At 41.4% G+C, this 25,174-nt stretch overlaps 2 protein-coding genes across 2 annotated transcripts; both read right to left on the bottom strand.

The window, feature by feature from the left end:
• Positions 1-835: 835 nt before the first annotated feature.
• TAS2R4 (taste 2 receptor member 4) lies at positions 836-5,853 on the bottom strand. The gene has a single exon (NM_016944.2). It carries the CDS (start codon positions 4,036-4,038, stop codon positions 3,139-3,141), a length of 900 nt encoding a protein of 299 aa, NP_058640.1. The 5' UTR covers positions 4,039-5,853; the 3' UTR covers positions 836-3,138.
• An 11,476-nt stretch (positions 5,854-17,329) lies between these two features.
• TAS2R3 (taste 2 receptor member 3) lies at positions 17,330-18,430 on the bottom strand. The gene has a single exon (NM_016943.2). The coding sequence runs from the start codon at positions 18,366-18,368 to the stop codon at positions 17,418-17,420; it is 951 nt and encodes a 316-aa protein (NP_058639.1). The 5' UTR covers positions 18,369-18,430; the 3' UTR covers positions 17,330-17,417.
• Between the last annotated feature and the right edge of the window lie 6,744 nt (positions 18,431-25,174).

Here is a 25,174-nt window from a genome sequence, read left to right as displayed (position 1 = left end):
AATAGCTATCTTACCAAAGAGGTTATGACCAACTAAAATAATAACGTGGAAATGTAGCTCATACAGTATTGGGCATGTAGCAGTTAAAAGTTAAATGGCAATGACCCTGAGTTCTGGTTACCACGATGGGTGTTTCATGAGGTTGTACACTGTCCTGACACCTGCCCTCCACTTCAGAAAGTGACTTCTTAACAAAGAGTTTTTAACCTCCCTCTATGCTCTGCCTACTGCAGGAAAGGGAGGGGTATGCGGGATATTATTTTTATTAGAGAGCCTCTAAGTTATGTGTCTTGAAAAAATCAAACCAAAATCCAAATTGTTTTAAATCCTTGGTTAATAAGTACTTAGTGGTGGGTATTTAGCAGAGCATATCAGAACCAGCAAAACTCTAAACATACAGCATTCTTAAAAACTGTACCCAAGGGAGACTTTGGGCAAGTGCCTAAGCAAAGACTGAAGACTTTCTTCAAACAGCAAAAACAGTCCTAACACAAAGACAACACATCCAACCCAGAGAGGGGAAAATTGAAGACAGTGTAGGACAAACAGGAAACAAATTGGCAGAACTTTGCCAATACAATAAAAAGAATCCAGACAAAGCAAGACAATTCACTTACCTTTCTTAGCGAGGACAAACTCGATGTTGACCTCAGAACTCCCTCTCTGTCTTTTAGGTAAGTAGGGAGGGAGGGAGGGAGGGAGGGAGGTGAGTGGGTTGGTGGATGGATAGATAGATAGATAGATAGATAGATAGATAGATAGATAGATAGACCATATATACATTATATATTTAAAAATATTTTTTGATTATATAAAAATGTTCATTATAGAAAACTTGAAATACACAAAAAAATTTATTGATTCCTCCCACCTAAAATAATTACTGTTTACATTTTTATATATTTCCTTTTAGACTTTTCTTCATATGTACACATTTTTACCAAAAAAAATGGTATTATACCACATGTACAGGTTTTATTTCAATTTCACTTAGTAGGTCATATAAAAAGGTTCTTTGACTAATAAGATGGTAAATACATACTATTTCATCATAAAGATATATATTATTGTGTATATTTAAGGTATAGCATAGGTTATTTGACTAAGGTAACAGAGACCAAAACTCCAGCACCTGAAAGAATGGAGACACTGATTTCTCATCAACAGTCCTGGAGTTCAGGCTTGAGCAGTCCAGAGCTGGTGTTACAAGTCCACAGTGTGAAGAACCATGGAGCCAGCTCTAGGATGGAGAATTACTTCACTATCCCAAGCATTCACCTCATCTGCATTGTCCAAGATAGACAATCATGATGTCAGCATTCCAGCTCATGGAGGGAGTAACAAAGAAAAGATTAAAGAAGGGAAGGTAGGACTGCTCCGAAGTACCACCCAGAAATTATATACATCTTTTCTGCTCACATACATGGCAATAATGGAATTTGCTGCCAAAATTCTGAACAGCTAATGATTTGATTACTATGGAAGAGAGGAGAAAGAACAGATACTGAGGGACCAATGAGGGTTTCTGCCACTCATTTAGAGTTCTTAAGACATAGTATGCATTTAATCACTCTCAGTAATCCTTTTATCTCTCTTAGGATTTAACATGATGAATACCTCCAGGTTTCATAGCACAAAATATTGGCTTGGGTAATTTTTACTGAATATTGCAGTCAAGATTCTGGTGGCCAGAATGAGAAAAGTCATGTAATTTATAAAATTTTAAGATTTATTTGACATATGTAAATATTACATAAGCATTTTATGAACACCAAAAAAAACCTAAATAAATACAAATTATGATTCCCCAATTGACATTCCAAAACTTGTCAACATCCCATCTTCAGACTGTTGTTCTTTTGGAGCCACAGTCCAATGGTCCCAGCCACAGAAACAACATTCTGGAGAAGAACTGTGCTGTGTACAAATGTATAAGCAGATGAAATAAATTCACCACAAGTCAAGCACTCCCACCACCTGTCCAGTGCTTTTTTGGCTTTCCACTGAGTTCCATAGCCTATGGTGAAGTACAGTATTTTGTAAATTTGTACTCATATGGTGTTAATTTCATTATCTAGCACTTGCCTTTGACCTTAAGCTGGTTTCCCTGGATTTTAAGATTTTTGGAACCATTCTTGATTCAGTTTCTTAAATACTAATCACTTTCCTCTACTTACCAACTCTGGCAATATCCTCTTTTCCAGAACAAGCCTAGAAACCTTAGGGTTTCTTGCTAGGAATAGCACAGTTACTATTACCCAGCAAGTGTGAGGATACTTTTTCTGTCTTGTCCCAGAGTGTACGTCTATTTCTTTTTTTGAGACAGAGTCTTGCTCTGTCGCCCAGACTGGAGTGCAGTGGCGCGATCTCATCTCACTGCAAGCTCCGCCTCCTGGGTTGAAGCCATTCTCCTGCCTCAGCCTCCCGAGTAGCTGGGACTACAGGTGCCCGCCACCACGCCCAGCTAATTTTTTTGTATTTTTAGTAGAGACAGGGTTTCACCGTGTTAGCCAGGATGGTCTCGATCTCCTGACCTCACGATTCACCTGCCTCGGCCTCCCAAAGAGCTGGGATTACAAGCATGAGCCACCGCGCCTGGCCCAGTGTACGCCTATTTCTCTTCACCTTTCTCTTTCCTTCTTTTCTCTCTGAAACCTTCCTTTTTTCCTTTTCTCTTTGCACTGAACCCCCTTCCTCTGCTTTCGGTCAGTCCAGTGGCTCCCAGTGACCACCTATCCACTGCTGAGCCCTTACTCAGGGCTCCTCAGCTAAACCACAAATATCTAACTCATCACGTGCACCCCAATGTGTTCTCTAATTTGGAAGAATTTCCCATTATACTTCAATAGACAATGAAACAATGTGATGATTTCCATTATACATGGATTCAATGGCCATGCAAAATACATGACAAATAATGCCTCAAAAAAGTTTCTTACAGAATGTGCCTTATTTTAAAATACTTACATACCAAAAAAAAAAAATTACAGAATGAACTGAAATTCAGGCACTCAAAAGCCTATGATGTCAGATCAGCAATCACAAAACTGAATTCCCCAGATCACTGGGAAAACTGCAAACAGAAAATCTTGCCCCCAAACCATCAGGTAAATCTAGGTATTGTTTACTGAAATTCCACTATTTTTTGAAACAAAGAATCTTCTTTGCTGTTGTTTTCAGTTTAGGATGTGTGATAATAATGAGAACAGAATGTCCTGGAGAGTAAAGGGTGGCAAAAATCAGACAAATGGATTTGGTCCCCATATCCATCCCTGCATAAAAGGGGAGATACTGGACCAGGGTAGCAACTGAATATGGAATGTAGAGGATGAGGAAATAGACCATCAGCTTCATAGCACCTACATGAGCTTCCGTCTGGGGATTCCAGAAACCAGTGGCATTTTTCTGCATCTTCTGTATATGTCTCCTCAAGGAGTGTATTAGCAAGGAAGCAGAAGTCACATTAATGATGAACTGGAGAGATGAGCTCAAGACCAAAGAAACCACTAAAGACAAGATGCCCTCACTGATATTAAATGATGTGTTATTTCTCGTAGTCACAAGTTCAGGAAAAGGTGATGCCTGGCTAAGCGTGATGTACAGGCAAGTGGTGAAAGCAGAAATCAGCACACAGGCCAGCAGCAGCCTGGGGATCTTTGGGGAGATATTCCGCTTCAGCAGGAGAAACACTGAGTGTTGGAAGTTAGTAATCTTCACACAGTACAAGATATTGAGCAAGGTCACAAACCAGACACTGCTCGAGTCCAAAAACATGAAACACAACACAAAAAAAGCAGACAGGTAGACTGACCTTTCCGTATTTGAAGAGACGAAGTAGATGGTGTTCACCAGAAATAGTCCCAGCATAAGAAACCTGGTGATGCCCAGGCTGAACAGAATCCTATCAGAAGAGGAGATTCTATGGCTTTTGACCCAAGTTTTGCAATTGACCACTGTAATAAACAGATTCATAATGATTCCTACAAAATTTAAAATAACTGAGGCAATAATAGCAGAGAAATAGAATAACCGAAGCATCTTTACTCATTGAGGATTCAGCAGTTGTGGTGCTGATAGTGGAGGCAGAAGAAATACCAAAATGTATAAGCAGACACCAGTATCCAGCCAGGAAGGACATCTCCTTTTTAATTTTTCCCAGCATGGCAAATGAGCCATTCATGATCAAGGGCCACCTGATTTTACTGAGATGCAAATCTTCCAAGGATTACATTACTATTTCTTCATTAGTATCCTGTTCTCCTTAGAAATGCCTAATTACAGCAAGCCTAGGTGATGCTGGGAGTCCACTCCTCCAAGAGCAGGAGGGCGAGAGGGAAGAGTCACAGCAGGCTCCAAAAACTTAGAATCCAAACCAGAGAGCTTGAGTCCAGCAATGTTTCTGTCAATGTTTTACGGTAAAGTTTTTCTTCATAAAAATGCCAGAATATGGTGGAAATCCTAATTCCTCACTCCTACCCACCCACCTCCTAGCCACATATTCATGGATGACCAGAATCCAATTTCTCTCTCCCCTCTAATCTGTTGCTGCCACAACAAGTTTCACCAATTGGCCATGCCAATGCCACTCTTTCAACCTCAGTGATTCACCTATAGCGATTTACAGTGATCTAATAGATCAAGTTCAAAGACCCAATACCTCCTTGAGAAAACCTTTCTCAATTAATCCCATTCTTTCTGATGCCCTTTGCTTTGCCTTCTCTATCTACATACATAGATTTGTGCCATAACCATTTGCTATGTTCTGGTTTTCCTTAGAAAAAATTAAGTCAGCCCTTGTAGGTGTTTCCTTTATAAATCTGGGTTTATGTTTAGATCATATGTGGCTATTTTCTCTTAGGCATTTAACTGTCAATCCAGGTACCCTGGAATGAGATACACAGTAATGCATTAGTTGTAGTTTTGTGAGCCAAACAGCTAGGCATCTCATTGCTGGATTTCTCTGTACTTGCTCAGATGGGAAATGGCAAAATATCCCTGGCAAATGATATTATGGAGGCCCATAGGTGAATGTAAGAGTATGGCATCTCTTATCTTCTCTAGCAGCTGAATGAAACCAAGGTGCAATCCTGGATGCAGCCACAGATGTTACCAAAGTAGCATCAAGGTACAGCACAAAGTCCTACTGCCAAGTCCAAATAGAAACAGACAAGAAAAAGGAGCTAAGATTTAATAATAATCAGGTCCAGAAGAGGGGAATACATTCATGAGGCCCTTTAAGACAGATGACAGGAAGCCTAGCCTGGAGAAATTCTCTGACCTGGTGCCCAGGTGCTTACAGAAGCTTTTTATTCAAAACTAACAGGCACTGATAGAGGCATGCCCACATCAGGTAAGCAGGCAAACAGAATGAGCCAGGAAGACTATGACTAAAAGGAAAATTATAGCACAGATTTCCAATTACTTATCCATAGATGGCTGCATTAAAGTGGTGAAGTTGAAATATTACTAACATCACATTTAAATAGAATAAATGATATAGAGTAAGCCATAACAGATAAATGTGGCCAAAAGAGCAGGAATCCCAGAATTAGATAGTAACAAACTCTATCTAGAATGTACTATACCAAATTGTTGGGTTCTCTGTAGGAGGAAGTGCTATAATTAAGATGTGATAAGGTTGGCTAGCACAATCAATGAATGAGCTCATTCAGTTAGAAGTTATTTCCACAAGGGTCAGTATAGGAAAAGTGTTAGCAGAACCCTTTCTCCCTATGCATGAGAATTTGACCTATGGTTAAACTTCCTAGCTGTTTTCCTTATCATGATGATAAGGATGATAAGGATAATCTTATCCTTATATGATAAGGGTAAGAACATCAACTATGTTTCTAGAACAAAAAAAAAAAAGACTCTTGATTGGAAAATTGCATCTTGACTGGAAGGAACTATAAGTGAACTGTAATAAGTATCTTATGGAGTCTACATGCATTGGGCTTCCTTCCCATGTACCTGTACCTTGACTCAACCCTAGAAGCTTTGTCTACAAAATTACCACAAAATAAATTGGATCTTTTGGGACACGAAGCTTTTAATTTGCAGCAGCTCCCACCCTTACCCTACTGTGGGTCTCTTATTACTGTACCTGAACTGTATGGCCTGCACCAAAAACTCTGCAAAAGAGGAAGGCCTGACACTGCCCTGCTGGTAAATCGGGTCCCTCAACTATATCCATCTGAGTAGGCTGGTACCACAGTAGCCTAAGATAGTCTTATAAGTTTGATTATTTACTAGAGCCCAAGAAGACCAACCAGCAGGCACTGCAGTCATGGATCCAAACTCTGCTTCTTGACAGGTCTGTAAGAAAGGCTTTAGGGCAAATAGTCAAAGCAAATGAATGGCACTTAACTTATTTGATGATGGCTCTGAAGAATGAGGTCAGTCATGAAGAAACAGGAATTTAGAAGTTTGAAATTTTTTCAGGTGGAGCCAACATGGCCGAATAGGAACAGCTCCAGTCTACAGCTCCCAGCATGAGTGACGCAGAAGACGGGTGATTTCTGCATTTCCAACTGAGGTACCAGGTTCATCTCACTGGGGAGTGTCAGACAGTGGGTGCAGGACAGTGGGTGCAGCGCACCGAATGTGAGCCGAAGCAGGGCGAGGCATCGCCTCACCCGGGAAGTGCAAGGGGTCAGGGGATCCCCTTTCCTAGTCAAAGAAAGGGGTGACAGACGGCACCTGGAATATCAGGTCACTCCCACTCCAATACTGTGCTTTTCCAACAGTCTTAGCAAACGGCACACCAGGAGATTATATCCCGCGCCTGGCTCGGAGGGTCCTTTGCCCACAGAGCCTCACTCATTGCTAGCACAGCAGTCTGAGATCAAACTGCAAGGCAGCAGTGAGGCTGGGGGAGGGTCACCCACCATTGCCGAGGCTTGGGTAGGTAAACAAAGTGGCTGGGAAGCTAGAACTGGGTGGAGCCCACTGCAGCTCAAGGAGGCCTGCCTGCCTCTGTAGACTCCACCTCTAGGGGCAGGGCATAGCCAAACAAAAGGCAGCAGAAACCTCTGCAGACTTAAATGTCCCTGTCTGACAGCTTTGAAGAGAGTAGTGGTTCTCCCAGCATGCAGCTGGAGATCTGAGAACGGACAGACTGCCTCTTCAAGTGGGTCCCTGACCCCTGAGTAGCCTAATTAGGAGGCACCCCCCAGTAGGGGCAGACTGACACCTCACACGGCTGGGTACTCCTCTGAGACAAAACTTCCAGAGGAATGATCAGGCAGCAACATTTGCTGTTCACCAATATCCACTGTTCAGCAGCCTCTGATGCTGATATCCAGGCAAACAGGGTCTGGAGTGGACCTCCAGCAAACTCCAACAGACCTGTAGCTGAGGGTCCTGACTGTTAGAAGGAAAACTGACAAACAGAAAGGACATCCACACCAAAACCCCATCTGTACGTCACCATCATCAAAGACCAAAGGTAGATAAAACCACAAAGATGGTGAAGAAACAGAGCAGAAAAACTGGAAACTCTAAAACTCAGAGTGCCTCTCCTCCTCCAAAGGAATGCAGCACCTCACCAGCAATGGAACAAAGCTGGACGGAGAATGACTTTGACGAGTTGAGAGAAGAAGCCTTCAGATGATCAAACTACTCCGAGCTAAAGGAGGAAGTTCGAACCCATGGCAAAGAAGTTAAAAACCTTGAACAAAAATTAGACGAATGGCTAACTAGAATAACCAATGCAGAGAAGTCCTTAAAGGACCTGATGGAGCTGAAAACCAAGGCACAAGAACTACGTGACAAATGCACAAGCCTCAGTAGCCGATTCGATCAACTGGAAGAAAGGGTATCAGTGATGGAAGATCAAATGAATGAAATGAAGCGAGAAGAGAAGTTTAGAGAAAAAAGAATAAAAAGAAACAAACAAAGCCTCCAAGAAATATGGGACTATGTGAAAAGACCAAATCTATGTCTGATTGGTGTACCTGAAAGTGACAGGGAGAATGGAACCAAGTTGGAAAACACTCTGCAGGATATTCTCCAGGAGAACTTCCCCAATCTAGCAAGGCAGGCCAACATTCACATTCAGGAAATACAGAGAACGCCACAAAGATACTCCTCGAGAAGAGCAACTCCAAGACACATAATTGTCAGATTCACCAAAGTTGAAATGAAGGAAAAAATGTTAAGGGCAGCCAGAGAGAAAGGTCAGGTTACCCACAAATGGAAGCCCATCAGACTAACAGCTGATCTCTCGGCAGAAACTCTACAAGCCAGAAGAGAGTGGGGGCCAATATTCAACATTCTTAAAGAAAAGAATTTTCAACCCAGAATTTCATATCCAGCCAAACTAAGCTTCATAGGTGAAGGAGAAATAAAATCCTTTACAGACAAGCAATTGCTGAGAGATTTTGTCACCACCAGGCCTGCGCTAAAAGAGCTCCTAAAGGAAGCACTAAACATGGAAAGGAACAACCAGTACCAGCCACTGCAAAACCATGCCAAATTGTAAAGACCATGAAGGCTAGGAAGCAACTGCATCAACTAACGAGCAAAATAACCAGCTAACATCATAATGACAGGATCAAATTCACACATAACAATATTAACCTTAAATGTAAATGGGCTAAATGCTCCAATTAAAACACACAGACTGGCAAACTGGATAAAGAGTCAAGACCCATCAGTGTGCTGTATTCAGGAAACCCATCTCATGTGCAGAGACACACATAGGCTCAAAATAAAGGGATGGAGGAAGATCTGCCAAGCAAATGGAAAACAAAAAAGGCAGGGGTTGCAATCCTAGTCTCTGATAAAATGGACTTTAAACCAACAAAGATCAAAACAGACAAAGAAGGCCATTACATAATGGTAAAGGGATCAATTCAACAAGAAGAGCTAACTATCCTAAATATATATGCACCCAATACAGGAGCACCCAGATTCATAAGGCAAGTCCTCAGAGACCTACAAAGAGACTGAGACTCCCATACAATAATAATGGGAGACTTTAACACCCCACTGTCAACATTAGACAGATCAACGAGACAGAAAGTTAACAAGGATATCCAGGAATTGAACTCAGCTCTGCACCAAGCAGACCTAATAGACATCTACAGAACTCTCCACCCCAAATCAACAGAATATACACTCTTTTCAGCACCACACCACACCTATTCCAAAATTGACCATATAGTTGGAAGTAAAGCACTCCTCAGCAAATGCAGAAGAAAAGAAATTATAAGAAACTGTCTCCCAGACCACAGTGCAATCAAACTAGAACTCAGGATTAAGAAACTCACCCAAAACCACTCAACTACATGGAAACTGAACAACCTGCTCCTGAATGACTACTGGGTACATAACGAAATGATGGCAGAAATAAAGATGTTCTTTGAAACCAACGAGAACAAAGACACAACATACCAGAATCTCTGGGACACATTCAAAGCAGTGTGTAGAGGGAAATTTATAGCACTAAATGCCCACAGGAGAAAGCAGGAAAGATCTAAAATTAACACCCTAACATCACATTAAAAGAACTAGAGAAGCAAGAGCAAACACATTCAAAAGCTAGCAGAAGGCAAGAAATAACTAAGATCAGAGCAGAACTGAAGGAAATAGACACAAAAAAACCCTTCAAAAAATCAATGAATCCAGGAGCTGGTTTTTTGAAAAGATCAACAAAATTGATAGACTGCTAGCAAGACTAATAAAGAAGAAAAGAGAGAAGAATCAAATAGACACAATAAAAAATGATAAAGGGGATATCACCACCAATCCCACAGAAATACAAACTACCATCAGAGAATACTATAAACACCTCTACGCAAATAAACTAGAAAATCTAGAAGAAATGGATAAATTCCTTGACACATACACCCTCCCAAGACTAAACCAGGAAGAAGTTGAATCTCTGAATAGACCAATAACAGGCTCTGAAATTGAGGCAATAATTAATAGCTTACCAACCAAAAAAAGTCCAGGACCAGATGGATTCACAGCCGAATTCTACCAGAGGTACAAGGAGGAGCTGGTACCATTCCTTCTGAAACTATTCCAATCAATAGAAAAAGAGGGAATCCTCCCTAACTCATTTTATGAGGCCAGCATCATTCTGATACCAAAGCTGGGCAGAGACACAACCAAAAAAGAGAATTTTAGACAAATATCCTTGATGAACATTGATGCAAAAATCCTCAATTAAATACTGGCAAACTGAATCCAGCAGCACATCAAAAAGCTTATCCACCATGATCAAGCAGGCTTCATCCCTGGGATGCAAGGCTGGTTCGACATATGAAAGTCAATAAACGTAATCCAGCATATAAACAGAACCAATGACAAAAACCACATGATTATCTCAATAGATGCAGAAAAGGCCTTTGACAAAATTCAACAACGCTTCAAGCTAAAAACGCTCAATAAATTAGGTATTGATGGGACGTATCTCAAAGTAATAAGAGCTATCTATGACAAACCCACAGCTCATATCATACTGAATGGGCAAAAACTGGAAGCATTTCCCTTTGAAAAGTGGCACAAGACAGGGATGCCCTCTCTCACCACTCCTATTCAACATAGTGTTGGAAGTTCTGGCCAGGGCAATCAGGCAGGAGAAGGAAATAAAGGGTATTCAATTAGGAAAAGAGGAAGTCAAATTGTCCCTGTTTGCAGATGACATGATTGTATATCTAGAAAACCCCATCGTCTAAGCCCAAAATCTCCTTAAGCTGATAGGCAACTTCAGCCAAGTCTCAGCATACAAAATCAATGTGCAAAAATCACAAGCATTCTTATATACCAATAACAGACAGAGAGCCAAATCATGAGTGAACTCCCATTCACAATTGCTTCAAAGAGGATAAAATACCTAGGAATCCAACTTACAAAGGACATGAAGGACCTCTTCAAGGAGAACTACAAACCACTGCTCAATGAAATAACAAATGGAAGAACATTCCATGCTCATGGATAGGAAGTATCAATATGGTGAAAATGGCCATACTACCCAAGGTAATTTATAGATTCAATGCCATCCCCATCAAGCTACCAATGACTTTCTTCACAGAATTGGAAAAAACTACTTTAAAGTTCATATGGAACCAAAAAAGAGCCCGCATTGCCAAGTCAATCCTAAGCCAAAAGAACAAAGCCAGAGGCATCACGCTACCTGACTTCAAACTATACTACAAGGCTACAGTAACAAAAACAGCATGGTACTGGTACCAAAACAGAGATATAGACCAATGGAACAGAACAGAGCCCTCAGAAATAATACTGCATATCTGCAACCATCTGATCTTTGACAAACCTGACAAAAACAAGAAATGGAGAAAGGATTCCCTATTGAATAAATGGTGCTGGGAAAACTGGCTAGCCATATGTAGAAAGCTGAAACTGGATCCCTTCCTTACACCTTATACAAAAATTAATTCAAGATGGATTAAAGACTTAAATGTTAGATCTAAAACCATAAAAACCCTAGAAGAAAACCTAGGCAATACCATTCAGGACATAAGCACGGGCAAGGACTTCATGTCTAAAACACCAAAAGCAATGGCAACAAAAGCCAAAATTGACAAATGGGATCTAATTAAACTAAAGAGCTTCTGCACAGCAAAAGAAACTACCATCAGAGTGAACAGGCAACATACAGAATGGGAGAAAAGTTTTGCAATCGACTCATCTGACAAAGGGCTAATATCCAGAATCTACAATGAACTCAAACAAATTTACAAGAAAAAAACAACCACATCAACAAGTGGGCGAAGGATATGAACAGACACTTCTCAAAAGAAGACATTTATGCAGCCAAAAGACACATGAAAAAATGCTCATCATCACTGGCCATCAGAGAAATGCAAATCAAAACCACAATGAGATACCATCTCACACCATTTAGAATGGCGATCATTAAAAAGTCAGGAAACAACAGGTGCTGGAGAGGATGTGGAGAAATAGGAACACTTTTACACTGTTGGTGGGACTGTAAACCAGTTCAACCATTGTGGAAGACAGTGTGGCAATTCCTCAGGGATGTAGAACTAGAAATACCATTTGACCCAGCCATCCCATCACTGGGTACATATCCAAAGGATTATAAATCATGCTGCTATAAAGACACATGCACACATATGTTTATTGCGGCACTATTCACAATAGCAAAGACTTGGAACCAAGCCAAATGTCCAACAATGATAGGCTCAATTAAGAAAATGTGGCACATATACACCATGGAATACTATGCAGCCATAAAAAATGATGAATGCATGTCCTTTGTAGGGACATGGATGAAGCTGGAAACCATCATTCTCAGCAGACTATCACAAGGACAAAAAACCAAACACCGCATGTTCTCACTCATAGGTGGGAATTCAACAACGAGAACCCATGAACACAGGAAGGGGAACATCACACACTGGGGCCTGTTGTGGGTTGGGGGCAGGGGGGAGAGATAGCATTAGGAGATATACCTAATGTTAAATGATGAGTTAATGGGTGCAGCACACCAACATGGCACATGTATACATATGTAACAAACCTGCACGTTGTGCACATGTACCCTAAAACTTAAAGTATAATAAAAAAAAAAGTTGGGGCAAAAAAACATACACCCTACCTTAAGCTTTTTGTAGCAATGATTTCTATAAATGAGACTTTTTAAGGAGACCCTACGTTAAAAGTTATTGATAATCTAAAATCAAAATTGGCATGAAGATTCTTTTATTAGCTAATATTTCAGAAGTTTTAAGAAAGTAATGTAAACATTTTCAGATTTGTTACTTTTATTTTTTTAAATTATCTTCAAAGAAATTCAGTCTTCTGTCAATATTAATTTATATGAAATAGTAGCTAAACATCTCCTTCTCAGTTTCCAGATGGAAGGTGATTAAATTTAAAATAAGAAAAAAAAAATTTTTTTCAAAAAAGTATAGATGGCACTTAAGAGAAAGAAGAAAACTTCCATTACTTGTGGTTTTTTAAATGCTTGCTATGTTCCCAGCAGTGCATCAGGCATCCTAGGAGGAGTATATGGTTATCCCTATTTATGAGTGAGGAAAATGAAGATCAGGGAAAATAAGTGACTGCCTAATACCAGAGCAAATGCCTTAGCCCATTTTCTGCTGCTATAACAGAATACCACATATTGGGTAATTTATAAAGAAAAGAAGTCTAGTTGGCTCACAGTTCTGAAAGCTGGGAAGTCCAAGAGCATGGTGCTGGCATCAACTCAGCATCTAATGAGGGCCTACTTAGTACTTCATAACATGGCAGAGGGCAAGAATGTGTACATGAGAACAAGACAGGAAAAGGGGGCCAAACTCCCGCAATAACAAACCCACTCCTGCATTAATCCATTCATGAGGGCAAAGCCCTCATGACCGAATCACCTCTTAAAGGCCCTACCTCTCAACACTGTTACAAGGACACAATTACATTCTGTCATGAGTTTTGGAAGGGACATCCAAACCACAGCAGCAAAGAAGTGGCTAAGCTGAAAGGTCTGAGACTGAGCTCTTTCTACTACACTAGACTTCCCCTCACTGGTTCTTTCATTCTATAAACTGTTATCATCAGCCAGACACTGTTAGGTGCTAGGGAAATAGAGAAGAATCACCCACAGCACATCCTCCCTTCAAAGAATATACAACATGGTAAAAAAGACAGATGAATAGACTATTAGAGTTGAGAGTTTTAGACGCCATAATAAGGAAACACAAGGAGCGCAATAGGAGTGTTCAGGAGGCGCACTTGATCCAGTTTTGGCAGTTCAGGAACTGAGAAGACATATAAATTAAGTCTTAAAGGATGCAAAGAGATTATCCAAAAAAAAGCTAAGGTAGGGAGAAAGAAGGATATTGGAAGCAGAGAACTCTACATGCAGACTAAGAGGTGACAGTGTGTGGTGGGTTCAGAAAACAGAGGAGGGGAGGGGTACAAGGACAGGAAGAGAAGTAGTGGGAGATGAAACTGGAAAGATAAATCACGAAGTATCTATGCCATAGTAGGTACAGAATTTGGGCATAATTATTATACTAATGTGATCAGAGGCATGTACAACATTAGAAAAACACAAAGAATAAGTGCTTAGCGTCACCTGAAAGAGTCAGAGAAAGTTTCCCAGAGGAGGAAGGTGTTGAAGAATAAGAGAAGTTGACACAGCTGATAAGAAAGATAATTCTAGGCATAGAAAGCAGCACATGGAAAAGCATAGTAGCAAGAAGAGTATGGCATATTTGGGAACTAGAAATAGTTCAAAGTTCTTTTGGAAAAGCAAGGAACGAGAAGATGAAACTAAAAAGAAGAAAACAGAGACCAAATGAAGACTGACTTTATGCTGTAAACTAAGTAGTTTGGACTTTACCCAAAGCAATGGAGAGCCATTGCAAGACTTTCAAGAGGGTAGCATTACTTTCATATTTTCACTGTATGAAGAACACAATCCAAGTAATAAGGAAAGGCTTTGCTGGAAGGGGATGGAGCTGGAAGCAGGAAACTAGTTAGAATCCTGTTGTAATCACTCTGATGGGCTGAAAAGAGTGGAGATGGAGACCAGGGAACATTTGAGGGAAATGTTTTGAAGTACAACCAAAGGGATCTGGCAACTAAATGGATATTGAGGCTGTAGAAGAAGGCAGAATCTGGAATGATTTCTAGAATTCTGGTGCACTTAGAACACACACACACACACATATGCACATACACTTATATGTCTTTTAGTGAGTATCTTTATCATCTGCACTAGCTTTTTAATACAGAGATTACTTATATGAGAGGTCTGCCAAGAGGCAGAGGCTTAAAAAAGATTAGATGTGCAAGAGATGTTAGGTGGGTGGGAGCCAGAAGAAGTGAGCAGAGTATTCAGAGAGCAATGTAGGTCTGACAGCTATAAAAGGGGGGGAGAGGTAAAGGGGGGTATGGAATAATTGGGTAGAGAGAGTTCTAAAGTGCAGTAGAGGTCCAAGAAAACTTCGACCAAGCTGATGCAGAGTCCTTGGCCAAAATTGCCTGTTAGAGGAGTCGCATGTCTCAGCAAAACAGACCTGCCTTAGTACTCCACAGTGCTCCACCACTGGCTGGGAGAAGCCTGCAGGAGATGTGGCCTCAAGGTAGTGGATCTCCAAAGCTGGAGCCATCAGCCAATTGTGCCTCCACAGCAGAGATCCGAGCGCACATTTTCAAGGCTGCCACAAAAGGGGTCTAGACACAAAGATCACCTGCATCAGGACCCTCAAGATCGGATGATCCCTTTATTGTACCTGAAGCACGTGTTTCAGTGATGCAGCAATTAAATACTTGTTTCTGTGTCTATATTACGCACTAAGTAATGTTTTTGAGAACAGAACAGTGTTCAAGGAACAAGCGTCTCGTGCAGTGCTTGGTCTCGTACAGTGCTTGGTGCACAATAAGTGTTAAATAAATGTTTGTGGCAGGAAGGAATGAACTGGAATCAAGGTTGGCCAGAATCAAAATGAAGTGAACCATGTATTCATTCCTGGAATATTACAGCAACATCCAGAAGCTAGGCAGAACTCATCCCTTTCTCAAGGGGATCTGCTAGCTGGGCAATAAGGGGAGAAGCCTGAAAAGCCAAGGACAATTCAGAAATCTTTCCTCTCTGGCTATGAATACACTGTCTGGCCACAAATGGAAATTGACACCAGACAGAACATAGCCAAGAAACTCCACTCATCAACTCCTGAAAATATGTATTTCAGAGTTAACCTGGAAATCTTGCTCAGACCGTTGGCCAAGCTCCACCAAGTCACAATGACAATTTAATGATAGTGGGGCTAACAAAATTTACTCACTCTACAAGCTCAAATGTGATGAAAACAAGTCAGTTCTTTATTTTATCTATCAGTAATATGGTTTTTCTCCTGAACCCTCACTTGCTGGTTGTGGAGGTGTTTAATCCAATGGGATAATGCAAACTGTGCAGACCAAAGGAAATTTTATTCCCATCATTTTAGGAATTAACATATAAATCCCAGAACAACCCTAATGTCAATTTCTGGTTACATATGACCAAATGTCCAGTAATGTAATGGACATTCATGCTATGTCCAAATATACTCCTTTTTATTATGTCAAAGTATGCTCCTTTTCACAAAATAACAACAACGATAGCAGTTTTATTGTGTGTTTGTTCCATGTAGAACTCTAAGCACTTCCCATGTGTTAATTCACTCATTCCTTCCAACAACTTTATCCCAACACACACACACACACACACACACACACACACACACACACACACACAAATTACTATTTCTATTTTACAGGTGAAGAAAGTTAAATAGAGACTGGTTAAGAAGTTTCCCCAAGGTCACCCAGTTCAAAAGGGCCAAAGCCAGATTTAAACACAGATTGTCTAATTTCAGGGTCTACATTCTTAGCCACAACAGTCCACTTCTGAGAGTCCCATTAGGGCTAGAAATACACATTTCTGAATAATGCCATGTGTATTAACTGAATATGTTTACAAATTTGAGAATTCTTCAGGATATTAAGCAATATCTTTTCATTGACATGTCAAAATTGTAAATAACAGGAAGTAAATCAATGCCTATATACTTCTATTTAAATAAAAGTGATTAAACTTACAAAATTCACTTATATTACATTTGATAAAACTGTAATTTTAAAACCAGGTAGGCATCTTGGTCAAAAATAAAAACAAAACTACTTGGTCTTTTGCCCAATCTACAAAATAATTACTTGAAAATGTACTTTAGCAAAATGATCATGAAATGCAAGATTGAATTGGAATCTAGAATCTAAAGGTCTTGATTTTCTTTCCACTGTTTTCATCATTACACAATGTGTTTGTGGGAACTGGAATCATATGGAAATTGCTGTTGCTGCACAATCCAATATTAGCGCAATAATAGCCTTCACTTACTGAGTACTGTACACAACACACTGTGCTAAAATGGCCAGTAGGGATCAGAAGAGGGAATCAGACAGGTAATTAAAGTAACTCACCAGAGGCCAAAAATCTTGGCCAGAATCAGAATTCAAACCCACATCTATAGGACTGCAAAGCTTTTGCTCTTTCCTTCAAGTCTACTATGTAATTTTATGTTTATCACTGTTAGTATCTAATTTAAGTTGAAACTAGTAATCAGACTCATTATGTCGAGCTGATGATTATTAAAATACAGCACCATATGTTTATAGTGAGAGTGTTCTTACGACATGGTCATTTCCAAGACTACTACTCCTGCACCCTCCCCACCTCCGCAACCACCATACAGAGAGAGGCTGTGAGAAGCGTGGCTTTCACCTTGGAACAAGTGCCCAGGGACCAGGGGCAAAGCAGTCAGTGTTTCTCTCCTACTGATGTTATGGAACTGGTAACATAGGAAGGTCAGGAAGAGTCCTGTAGTCTTGAGCCAGGCCAAAAGGCTCAAGGGCTCCACCCCATGCCCTCTGTTACTCTAAGAGAAAATGGGTCCCTTGGATCCAGGCTTCAGATGACCAGACTCACACCGGAGCATCACTACAAATGTCTGCTTCAGCTTACTGTTCCCCAGAATGAGAATAAATGAGTGGCCAGCAGGATAAAACATTGTCATTACTTCGCCAATCATCTTAGCCATCTTGGTTTTTGGTAGGAAATTACCAAATGATGCAATTAAGAAAGCAAGAAAGTAAAGTAAGAAGAGAAAGAAGAAGGAAAGGATGATTCTGATGGCCCTCTTGTGGGCCTCAGTGGTTGGATCTCTGGAGCTTGTCCCATTTTGCAGCATCTGCCGTGTGTGCCTCCCCAGGGAGAAGATGAGCAAAGAGTAGGAGGCCAGGGACACAATTAAGGGAGGCAGGTACCACAGAGTCCCAAGAACATGGATCAGATAATACTCACTCCTCTTCTTTCTGAAGTGTTCAGTCACATTCCTGGTGGCCTCAATTCCCCTAAAGACAGAATAGAGCTTAAACTCATTGATCAGAGATGCGGTACTACCACAGGATAAGAGCAGTGCACCCAACAGCATCCATACCATCACCCTAGAAACTCTCCACTTGAGCCAGAGGAATGTGGGGTGAGAGAAACTGGCGATTTTCAGGCAGTAGAGGACACCAAGACAGGTGGCAAGCCAAATGCTCAGATGGTTTGTAAATGTCCAGGAAACATCAATAATTTGCATTATTATCCCTGAATCATGTGTGTTGGGAGAGAATTCTATTAAAAAACTATCAGTCAAGATAATACACAGCAGAATGATCCTCAAGAGTGCCAGGGTGGTGATGATGAAGTCAGACAAAGACATTCTCTTGGTCTTGAACCAGCTGCTACCATTGACCAACTCAATGAAACAATTGACCAGAATTCCCAGTGTGAACTGAGTGCCAGACAGAATCAGGAACACCCCCTCGGTGAGTCCCATCATGTCAGCAATTAGGCAGCCCTGATCTTTGTTCTTTCTGTTGATACATAGAATCTCCTCACTGATGTGATATTTTTCTCGTTAATCTACTCCTCTACCTGTTGCTTCACTGTACCTGTCTCTTGTCTCTGCCCAATTTAGTCTGTCGTAGAGCACAATTTAGGAAATCCTCTCTGGCTCTTTCAGGTTAGTCTGTCCTCTTCACAGATGATATGGATTGTCATATTCCATCAATGAACCTAAACTTTGCAGCTCTTTGCTAAAATGCAAATGAGTAGTGTCCAGTGTCACATAGAGAAGGAAGAGATCTAGGTCACAAAGATGATGGAGGACTTGGACTCAGTTTCAAAGGGTGTAGGGCTCTGAGTTACCCAAAACAGAAAGATGAGCGGCACCAAATGGAGGCGGCTCAGAATTACTCAGAAGAGTAAAAAGTCTCATTCCTCAGGAGGGAGGACTCAGAGATACAGAAAAGGAATTCCACTAGGAGCCACTATCCACCTGGAGTGAGGTTTAAGTGCATAAAATTGTAAAAGTTCAGTGCCATTGATCATGGATTAGAATTAAAAGGCATGCCCCTTGGAGCCTGGCTTACATGCAGAGAGATGGCTGTAAGCTATAAGCTAGCAAGAGAAGCCTCACCAGAAAGTGGCCAAGCTTACATCCCGAACTTGGACTTGCAGTGGGAAGTCTCAGACCCACTCTGGATTGCTAGTCTGCTATAATACTGTCCAGGGAGGCATAAGAACAATACTTCTGTTCTTAACCTAAGAGCTCCTCTATTTAACAAGCGGCTATTAATTAAGGATCTTCATTCAGGACTATATGCAGAATTAAGCAGTACGTAGTTTGTATTAAAGTATGCTTATGTTGACTCTTTTTAAAGCTAATTGCTAAGGTTTGTATACTTTTTATGTCCTACTCCCTTCCCTAAATTTAATGAGACATTAGTTTAAAACCTAAAGGATTGTGGGAATAAAGAAAAGATTTTACTTCTACTTGCCGTGAAAGGTCATGTAAGAGAAAGATAAGAGTAAAGAGTTGCTCATGTATACGGAGATAAAGTCAACAATATATGAATAAGAAAGAATTAGGTTTAAGTACACAACACAAGTAAATGGCTTAGAGGAGAGGTATATTTTTGTCTCCCAAAGCAGTCCAGAGGCAAACTGTCCAGGCTGGTATGGTGGTTGCATAGTGATTGCAGATCCCAGCTTCTTCTACCTTCCATTCTGAAGACTGCCTCATGGTCCAAGATGGCAACTGGAAATCCAGCCATGAAATGTCCACATTTCAGACAAAAAAGAAAATGCTGTAGGACGAGAGTCTGGGGAAGCACACAGGATACGCCTCCCAAGAGTAACTCATATAGAAAGTTCCCTGAGAGCATCACCAAGTGACTTCTGCCTATAGCCCCTTGGCAACCCCTAACTGAAAAGAACAGGAATGCAGTACATGTGCTGTGCACCCTGTCACATCTGGGTTCTATAAATACAGAAGGGACAATAGATACTGGGTAGTGCATTAATCATGTTTATTTTCTGTATTTTATGCTTTGACACTTTTGGGCCTTGCAGACCCAGAGAGGGCATGCCCTCCCAAGGTTAGCTAATTCCTGGAGTTAGCCAACTTGCCTGAGAAAACTCCTTTGATAAGCAAACCAGCCAATCCTGAATCCACACTGCCCCTCCCATCTACCTCCTTTGCTTAGGTAGAAAACGAGCCCAGGACACTATGACCTTGCCTTCAATCACCCCAGGGCCAGGCACCTGATAACTAGGGACCATCTTGAGAACCTGCAGCCTGCTGAAATTATTCAAACTACCCAATCCTAACCTTGCTTAGCTTTCCACTGGTGCCTTACTCATTGCTTCCCTATGAAAAACACAACAAAGCCTCTGGCTTATGTTTTCCCCCCTCCTTCTTCCTCCTGACCAACTCCAGTGCATCCCTGAGTGGCCTTGCATGGCATAGCATGCAACCTCCTATTGGGAACTGTGAAATAAAAGACTCTTCTTTCAAAGCAGTTGTCTGTGTGACATGATTAAAGCAGCTGTCTCCGTGACATGATTAAAGCAGTTGTCTCCTACCATACATGATTAAGGCAAGTCCCAGGTACATCTTAAAACAGGTAGGCAACTGGAAATCTTTTCCACAATACGGTTTTCTATAACAGAAAGCTAGAATCTACAATAGAAAGCTAGAATGCTTTAAAGTTATCTCACAGCCAGGCATGGTAGCTCATGCTTATCATCCCAGCGACCCAGGAGGCCAAGGTGAGAGCATCACTTGCAACCATGAGTTTGAGGCTGCAGTGAGCTATGATCGCACCACTGCACTCCAGCCTGGGCGACACAGCGAGACTCCAACATACATACATATGTTATAAATAAAGGATAAATAAAATTTAAAAATAAAAAACAAAAAAGTTATCTCATAAACCATTTATAATGTGTTTAGCAGAAGAAAAAGAATAATCACTCCTGCCTCAACTTCTCCTCGGAGCTCCAGACTAATATAATTAATACCCTGCCAAGGAGCCATTAGAAAGTCTACAGATAAACCATATTCAAAACTAAGCTCATTATCTTTCCCCCTCTCAACTCTGCTCCCACATCCATGTTCCATAAACTCAGAAATGAAGTGCTACTATCCACACATCTCCATGCAGGAACCTCAGAACCACCTCTGAATTGCATTTCCTCTTAGCAATAGTGGTTGTGTCACCACTAGATCTTGGGCAGAAGCTATAAGTGATTCTCTGCAGTATCTCTAACACAGAGCCTAGCACAGGGTCCAGCACAAAATTGGTACACAATTACTATTTGTCAAATCAACTTGAATCCCAAACGCCCCTCAAGTCACCTCTCATCCCCATTCTTGCTAACCTTTCTAGGCTTATTAGAGCTTCCTAACTGCCTCTAGGCTTTCTCCTTCTAGCCCTTCACTCTGTCTTTGTTGTTCTCCTAACGCACAATTCTGATAAGATGTCCTTGTTTTCAAACCTTCTATTGCTCCCCATTGCCAAAGTTCTCTGAAAGCTTTCAAGGCCCTTTACTATCTAGCCCCAACCCACTTTCCATGCCTCACCTTTGTTTCATAAACTTTTGTTTCTGGATCTTTGCTCATGCTGTTTCCTCTGCTGAAAGCTCACCTATCCATTCTCTTCTAAGCTACTCCTCACACCCTATCACAGTTAGCTATAAAAGTTTCTGCTTATCCTCCCTAACCCCTCATAAGCTTAATTGTGAATTCCTTCAGTGCAGGAATCCTGTTATATACATCCCTACATTCAGGTCCTATATGGGTGCATGATATATAGAAGATGCCCAACTGAACCTTATATTTAAGAGAAGGAGAGCATAATGGTTTGGAAAATGTGCAGCCTGACCATGTGGTAGAAAAGAAAAACCAACTTTCTGAGGAGGAATTCAAGCTGGCTGAAGAAATTTGCATAAGTAACAAGGAGCCGAATGTTAATAGTCAAGACAATGGGGAAAATGTCTCTAGGGCATGTCAAAGACCTTCTTGGCAGCCCCTCCTATCACAGGCCCAGAGGTCTTGGAGAGAAAAATGGTTTCCTGGGCCAGACCCAGGGCCCAACTGCTCTGTGCAACCTCGGGACTTGGTTCCATGCATCCCAGTGGATCCAGCACCAGCCACGGCTAAAAGGAGCCCTCAAGGAGAACTTCTGCTATGGCAGTGTGGAAGGAAAATGTGGAGTTGTAGCCCCTGCACAGGGTCCCCACTGGGGCATTGCCTAGTGGAGCTGTGAGAAGGGGGCACCCATCCTCCAGACCCCAGAAAGGTAGATACACTGACAGCTTGCACCAAGTGCCTAGAAATGCTGCAGGCATTCAACACCAGCCCATGAAAGTGGACACAGGGGCTGTACCTTGCTGAGCCACAGGAACGCAGGGGCAGCTGCCCAAGACCAAGATTGTTGGAGCCCACCTCTTGCATCAGCATGCCCTGGGGTGGCCTACATGTGAGACGTGGAATCAAAGGAGATGATTTCAGAGCTTTAAGATTTAACGACTGCTCTGCCGGGTTTTCAGACCTGCATGAGGCCTGTAGCCCCTTTATTTTGGTCAATTTCTCCCATTTGGACTGGAAACATTTGCCCAATGCCTGTACCCTCATGGTATCTTAGAAGTAACTAATTTTATTTTACAGGCTCATAGGTGGAAGGGACTTGGCTTGTCTTAGATGAGACTTCGGACTTGGACTTTTGAGTTAATGCTGGAATGAGTTAAGACTTTGGGGGACTGTTGAGAAGGTATGATTGGTTTTTAAATGTGAAAAGGACATGAGATTTGGGAGGGGCTGGGGCAGGATGATATGGTTTGGTTATGTCCCCACCCAAATCTCATCTCAAATTGTAATCCCCACGTGTCAAGGTAGGGACCTGGTAGGTGACTGGATCATGGGGGTGGTTTCCCCTGTGCTGTTGTCCTGATAGTGAGGGAATTCTCCCCAGATCTGATGGTTTTAAAAGTAGCAGTTTCCCCTGTGCCCTCTCTCTCCTGCTGCCTTGTGAAGAAGGTGCCTGCTTCCCCTTCACCTTTTGCCACGACCATAAATTTCCTGAAGCCTCCCCAGCCATGCGGAACTGTGAGTTAATTAAACCTCTCGTTTATAAATTACCCAGTCTCACGTAGTATCTTCATAGCAGTGTGAAAACAGACAAATACAGTTGGTTGCGGGAATCTGTGGATACGGAGGGCCAGTGGAGAATGAATGCAAGTGGAGGCAGGCATTGGGCAGAAAGCAAAATGCAAACTTCACATACCTGAGTTCAACCTCCAGGTGTGCATCCTGGAAGATGCATGACTTTGACAAGTTATTTAACCTCTCCCAGTTTTGGGTTTCCTCACCTGTAAAATGGGATTATTGTACCTTCTTCTTAGGATAATGGCTAAATGAGACAATGATAAAAAGTACTTAGCTTAGCTCGGTACATAGTAACCAGAAGAGAAATGACAGTCATTAATATGATTATTGTTACATCTTTAAGAGATTTCCCTGTAATTCATTAACCTTGGACTTGCCTCTCATTTTCCACAACGATTTTCTTGCTGTTACTCCCACAAATCTTCACAGAATATTATGCAAACTCTAACAGAAAAATAGCAAGGTGATCCTGCCCTCATTTTCTTTTCAAGTCCCACCTAACCGAATGACAAACATTTATCAATCTCCATGTCACTGTGTGAGGCTGAGTTAGATTGGGGAAAAAGGGTGGTTTTAGTAAAAGAAAACCCTGCCTTCAAGAATTGCCATGATCTCATTAGGGAACAAAGGGAAAACAGCACTAATTTCTCCTAACTTGGCTGCAAAAGTTAGGCTGTAATCCACATTGCAATGACAAGTAATTCCTAAAGAAATGTATACTCTATTGCCAAAACTGCCACAGAAATATATCTTTGGTGTTTTTGGATCATCTTTGAATAAAATGTCCAGTGTGTTTTAAGAAATGATTGATTCTTTGAGAACTGTAAAGGCAGCAAACAGTAGATCTCATATAGGTTGGTTTTTTTGTTTGTTTGTTCGTTTTGTTTTTGAGATGGAGTCTGGCTCTGCCGCCCAGGCTGGAGTACAGTGGTGTGATCTCGGCTCACTGCAAGCTCCGCCTCCTGGGTTCATGCCATTCTCCCACCTCAGCCTCCCCAGTAGCTGGGACTACAGGCGCCCACCACCACACCCAGCTAATTTTTTGTATTTTCAGTAGAGACGGGGTTTCACCATGTTAGCCAGGATGGTCTCGATCTCCCGACCTCGTGATCCACCCGCCTTGGCCTCCCAAAGTGCTGGGATTACAGGCATGAGCCACTGCGCCTGGCTAGGTTGGTATTCAAAGTAAATCATTTTGGGCTGTGTACACGTATTAACAGATGAATGAATTATAAAAGCATGAGATGCTAAAATACAGATAGTGGGGGAAAATATATAAAAGATTTTCTCATTCATATCCAGTAAAGTGGTACTCACTAAAAGTGAATGAGTAAATTAGTCTGGCTCAGAAATAATGGAAAGGTTTTTTTCCCCAGATAAAAAGTTTTATTTTTTTATTATAAAAGTAATATATGTTCAATGCTAAAATATATATTTAAAAAACTGTAAAGAAACAAGGAAAATCACGCATAATCACCCTCTCTAGAGATAATAACATCCTCATGTTTCTCCCTCCAGACATTAAGCCTATCTTCATTACAACTTCTTTTTCAAAAATGGGATACCCCAGACATACTGTTTGAAACTTTTTCTCCCATTCTTCTAGGTATACTATTCATCTTACCATTTAACAGGAAACTCCAAATCGAGGTCACAGTGCAGTTTTCTGAGGTTTATTCCCTGACACTATCACATCAAAAAGGGAAATGCAAGACCCAAAACTTGGGTTAGAAGACCCCTAGTCTTTTACTGCTATTTACTGCTATCATATTTCCAAATGCGCTCTTCCTAGACCAGCTAGGGAGCAGGAGAAAGTTTCTCAGCAGATAGGGCTTCCCAGGGGTAGGCAAAGTTTCCCTAGCAAGTCTGACTGACTTGAGGCGAGAATCATTCTGCTAGAATCATACGCATGCTGAAGACTGCATGCTACACACCTAAGTCTGATAAAGCACCACTGCTTCAGCTCCACAGCCTTTCAGAGGCATGGAGAGAAGAGGCAACCTCCAGGGGAGAGTTTAAAGCAGAGCCCCTCGGCTCACAATGATCCAGCACAGCATCCTCTTCCACCCCTGCATTCAGGGCTGAGAAACTGCTCCAGGTTGGTAATTAAGCTCTTCTGTTCACCATGTCATTTT

The sequence above is a fragment of the Homo sapiens genome, chromosome 7 (assembly GCF_000001405.40).
Source record: "Homo sapiens chromosome 7, GRCh38.p14 Primary Assembly".
Lineage (NCBI taxonomy): Eukaryota > Metazoa > Chordata > Mammalia > Primates > Hominidae > Homo > Homo sapiens.
This window is presented reverse-complemented; position numbering and strand designations above follow the sequence as displayed.

Coding starts and splice junctions, on each gene's coding strand:
- TAS2R4 (NM_016944.2), bottom strand. CDS start 4,038: ATGCTTCGGTTATTCTATTTCTCTGCTATTATTGCCTCAGTTATTTTA.
- TAS2R3 (NM_016943.2), bottom strand. CDS start 18,368: ATGATGGGACTCACCGAGGGGGTGTTCCTGATTCTGTCTGGCACTCAG.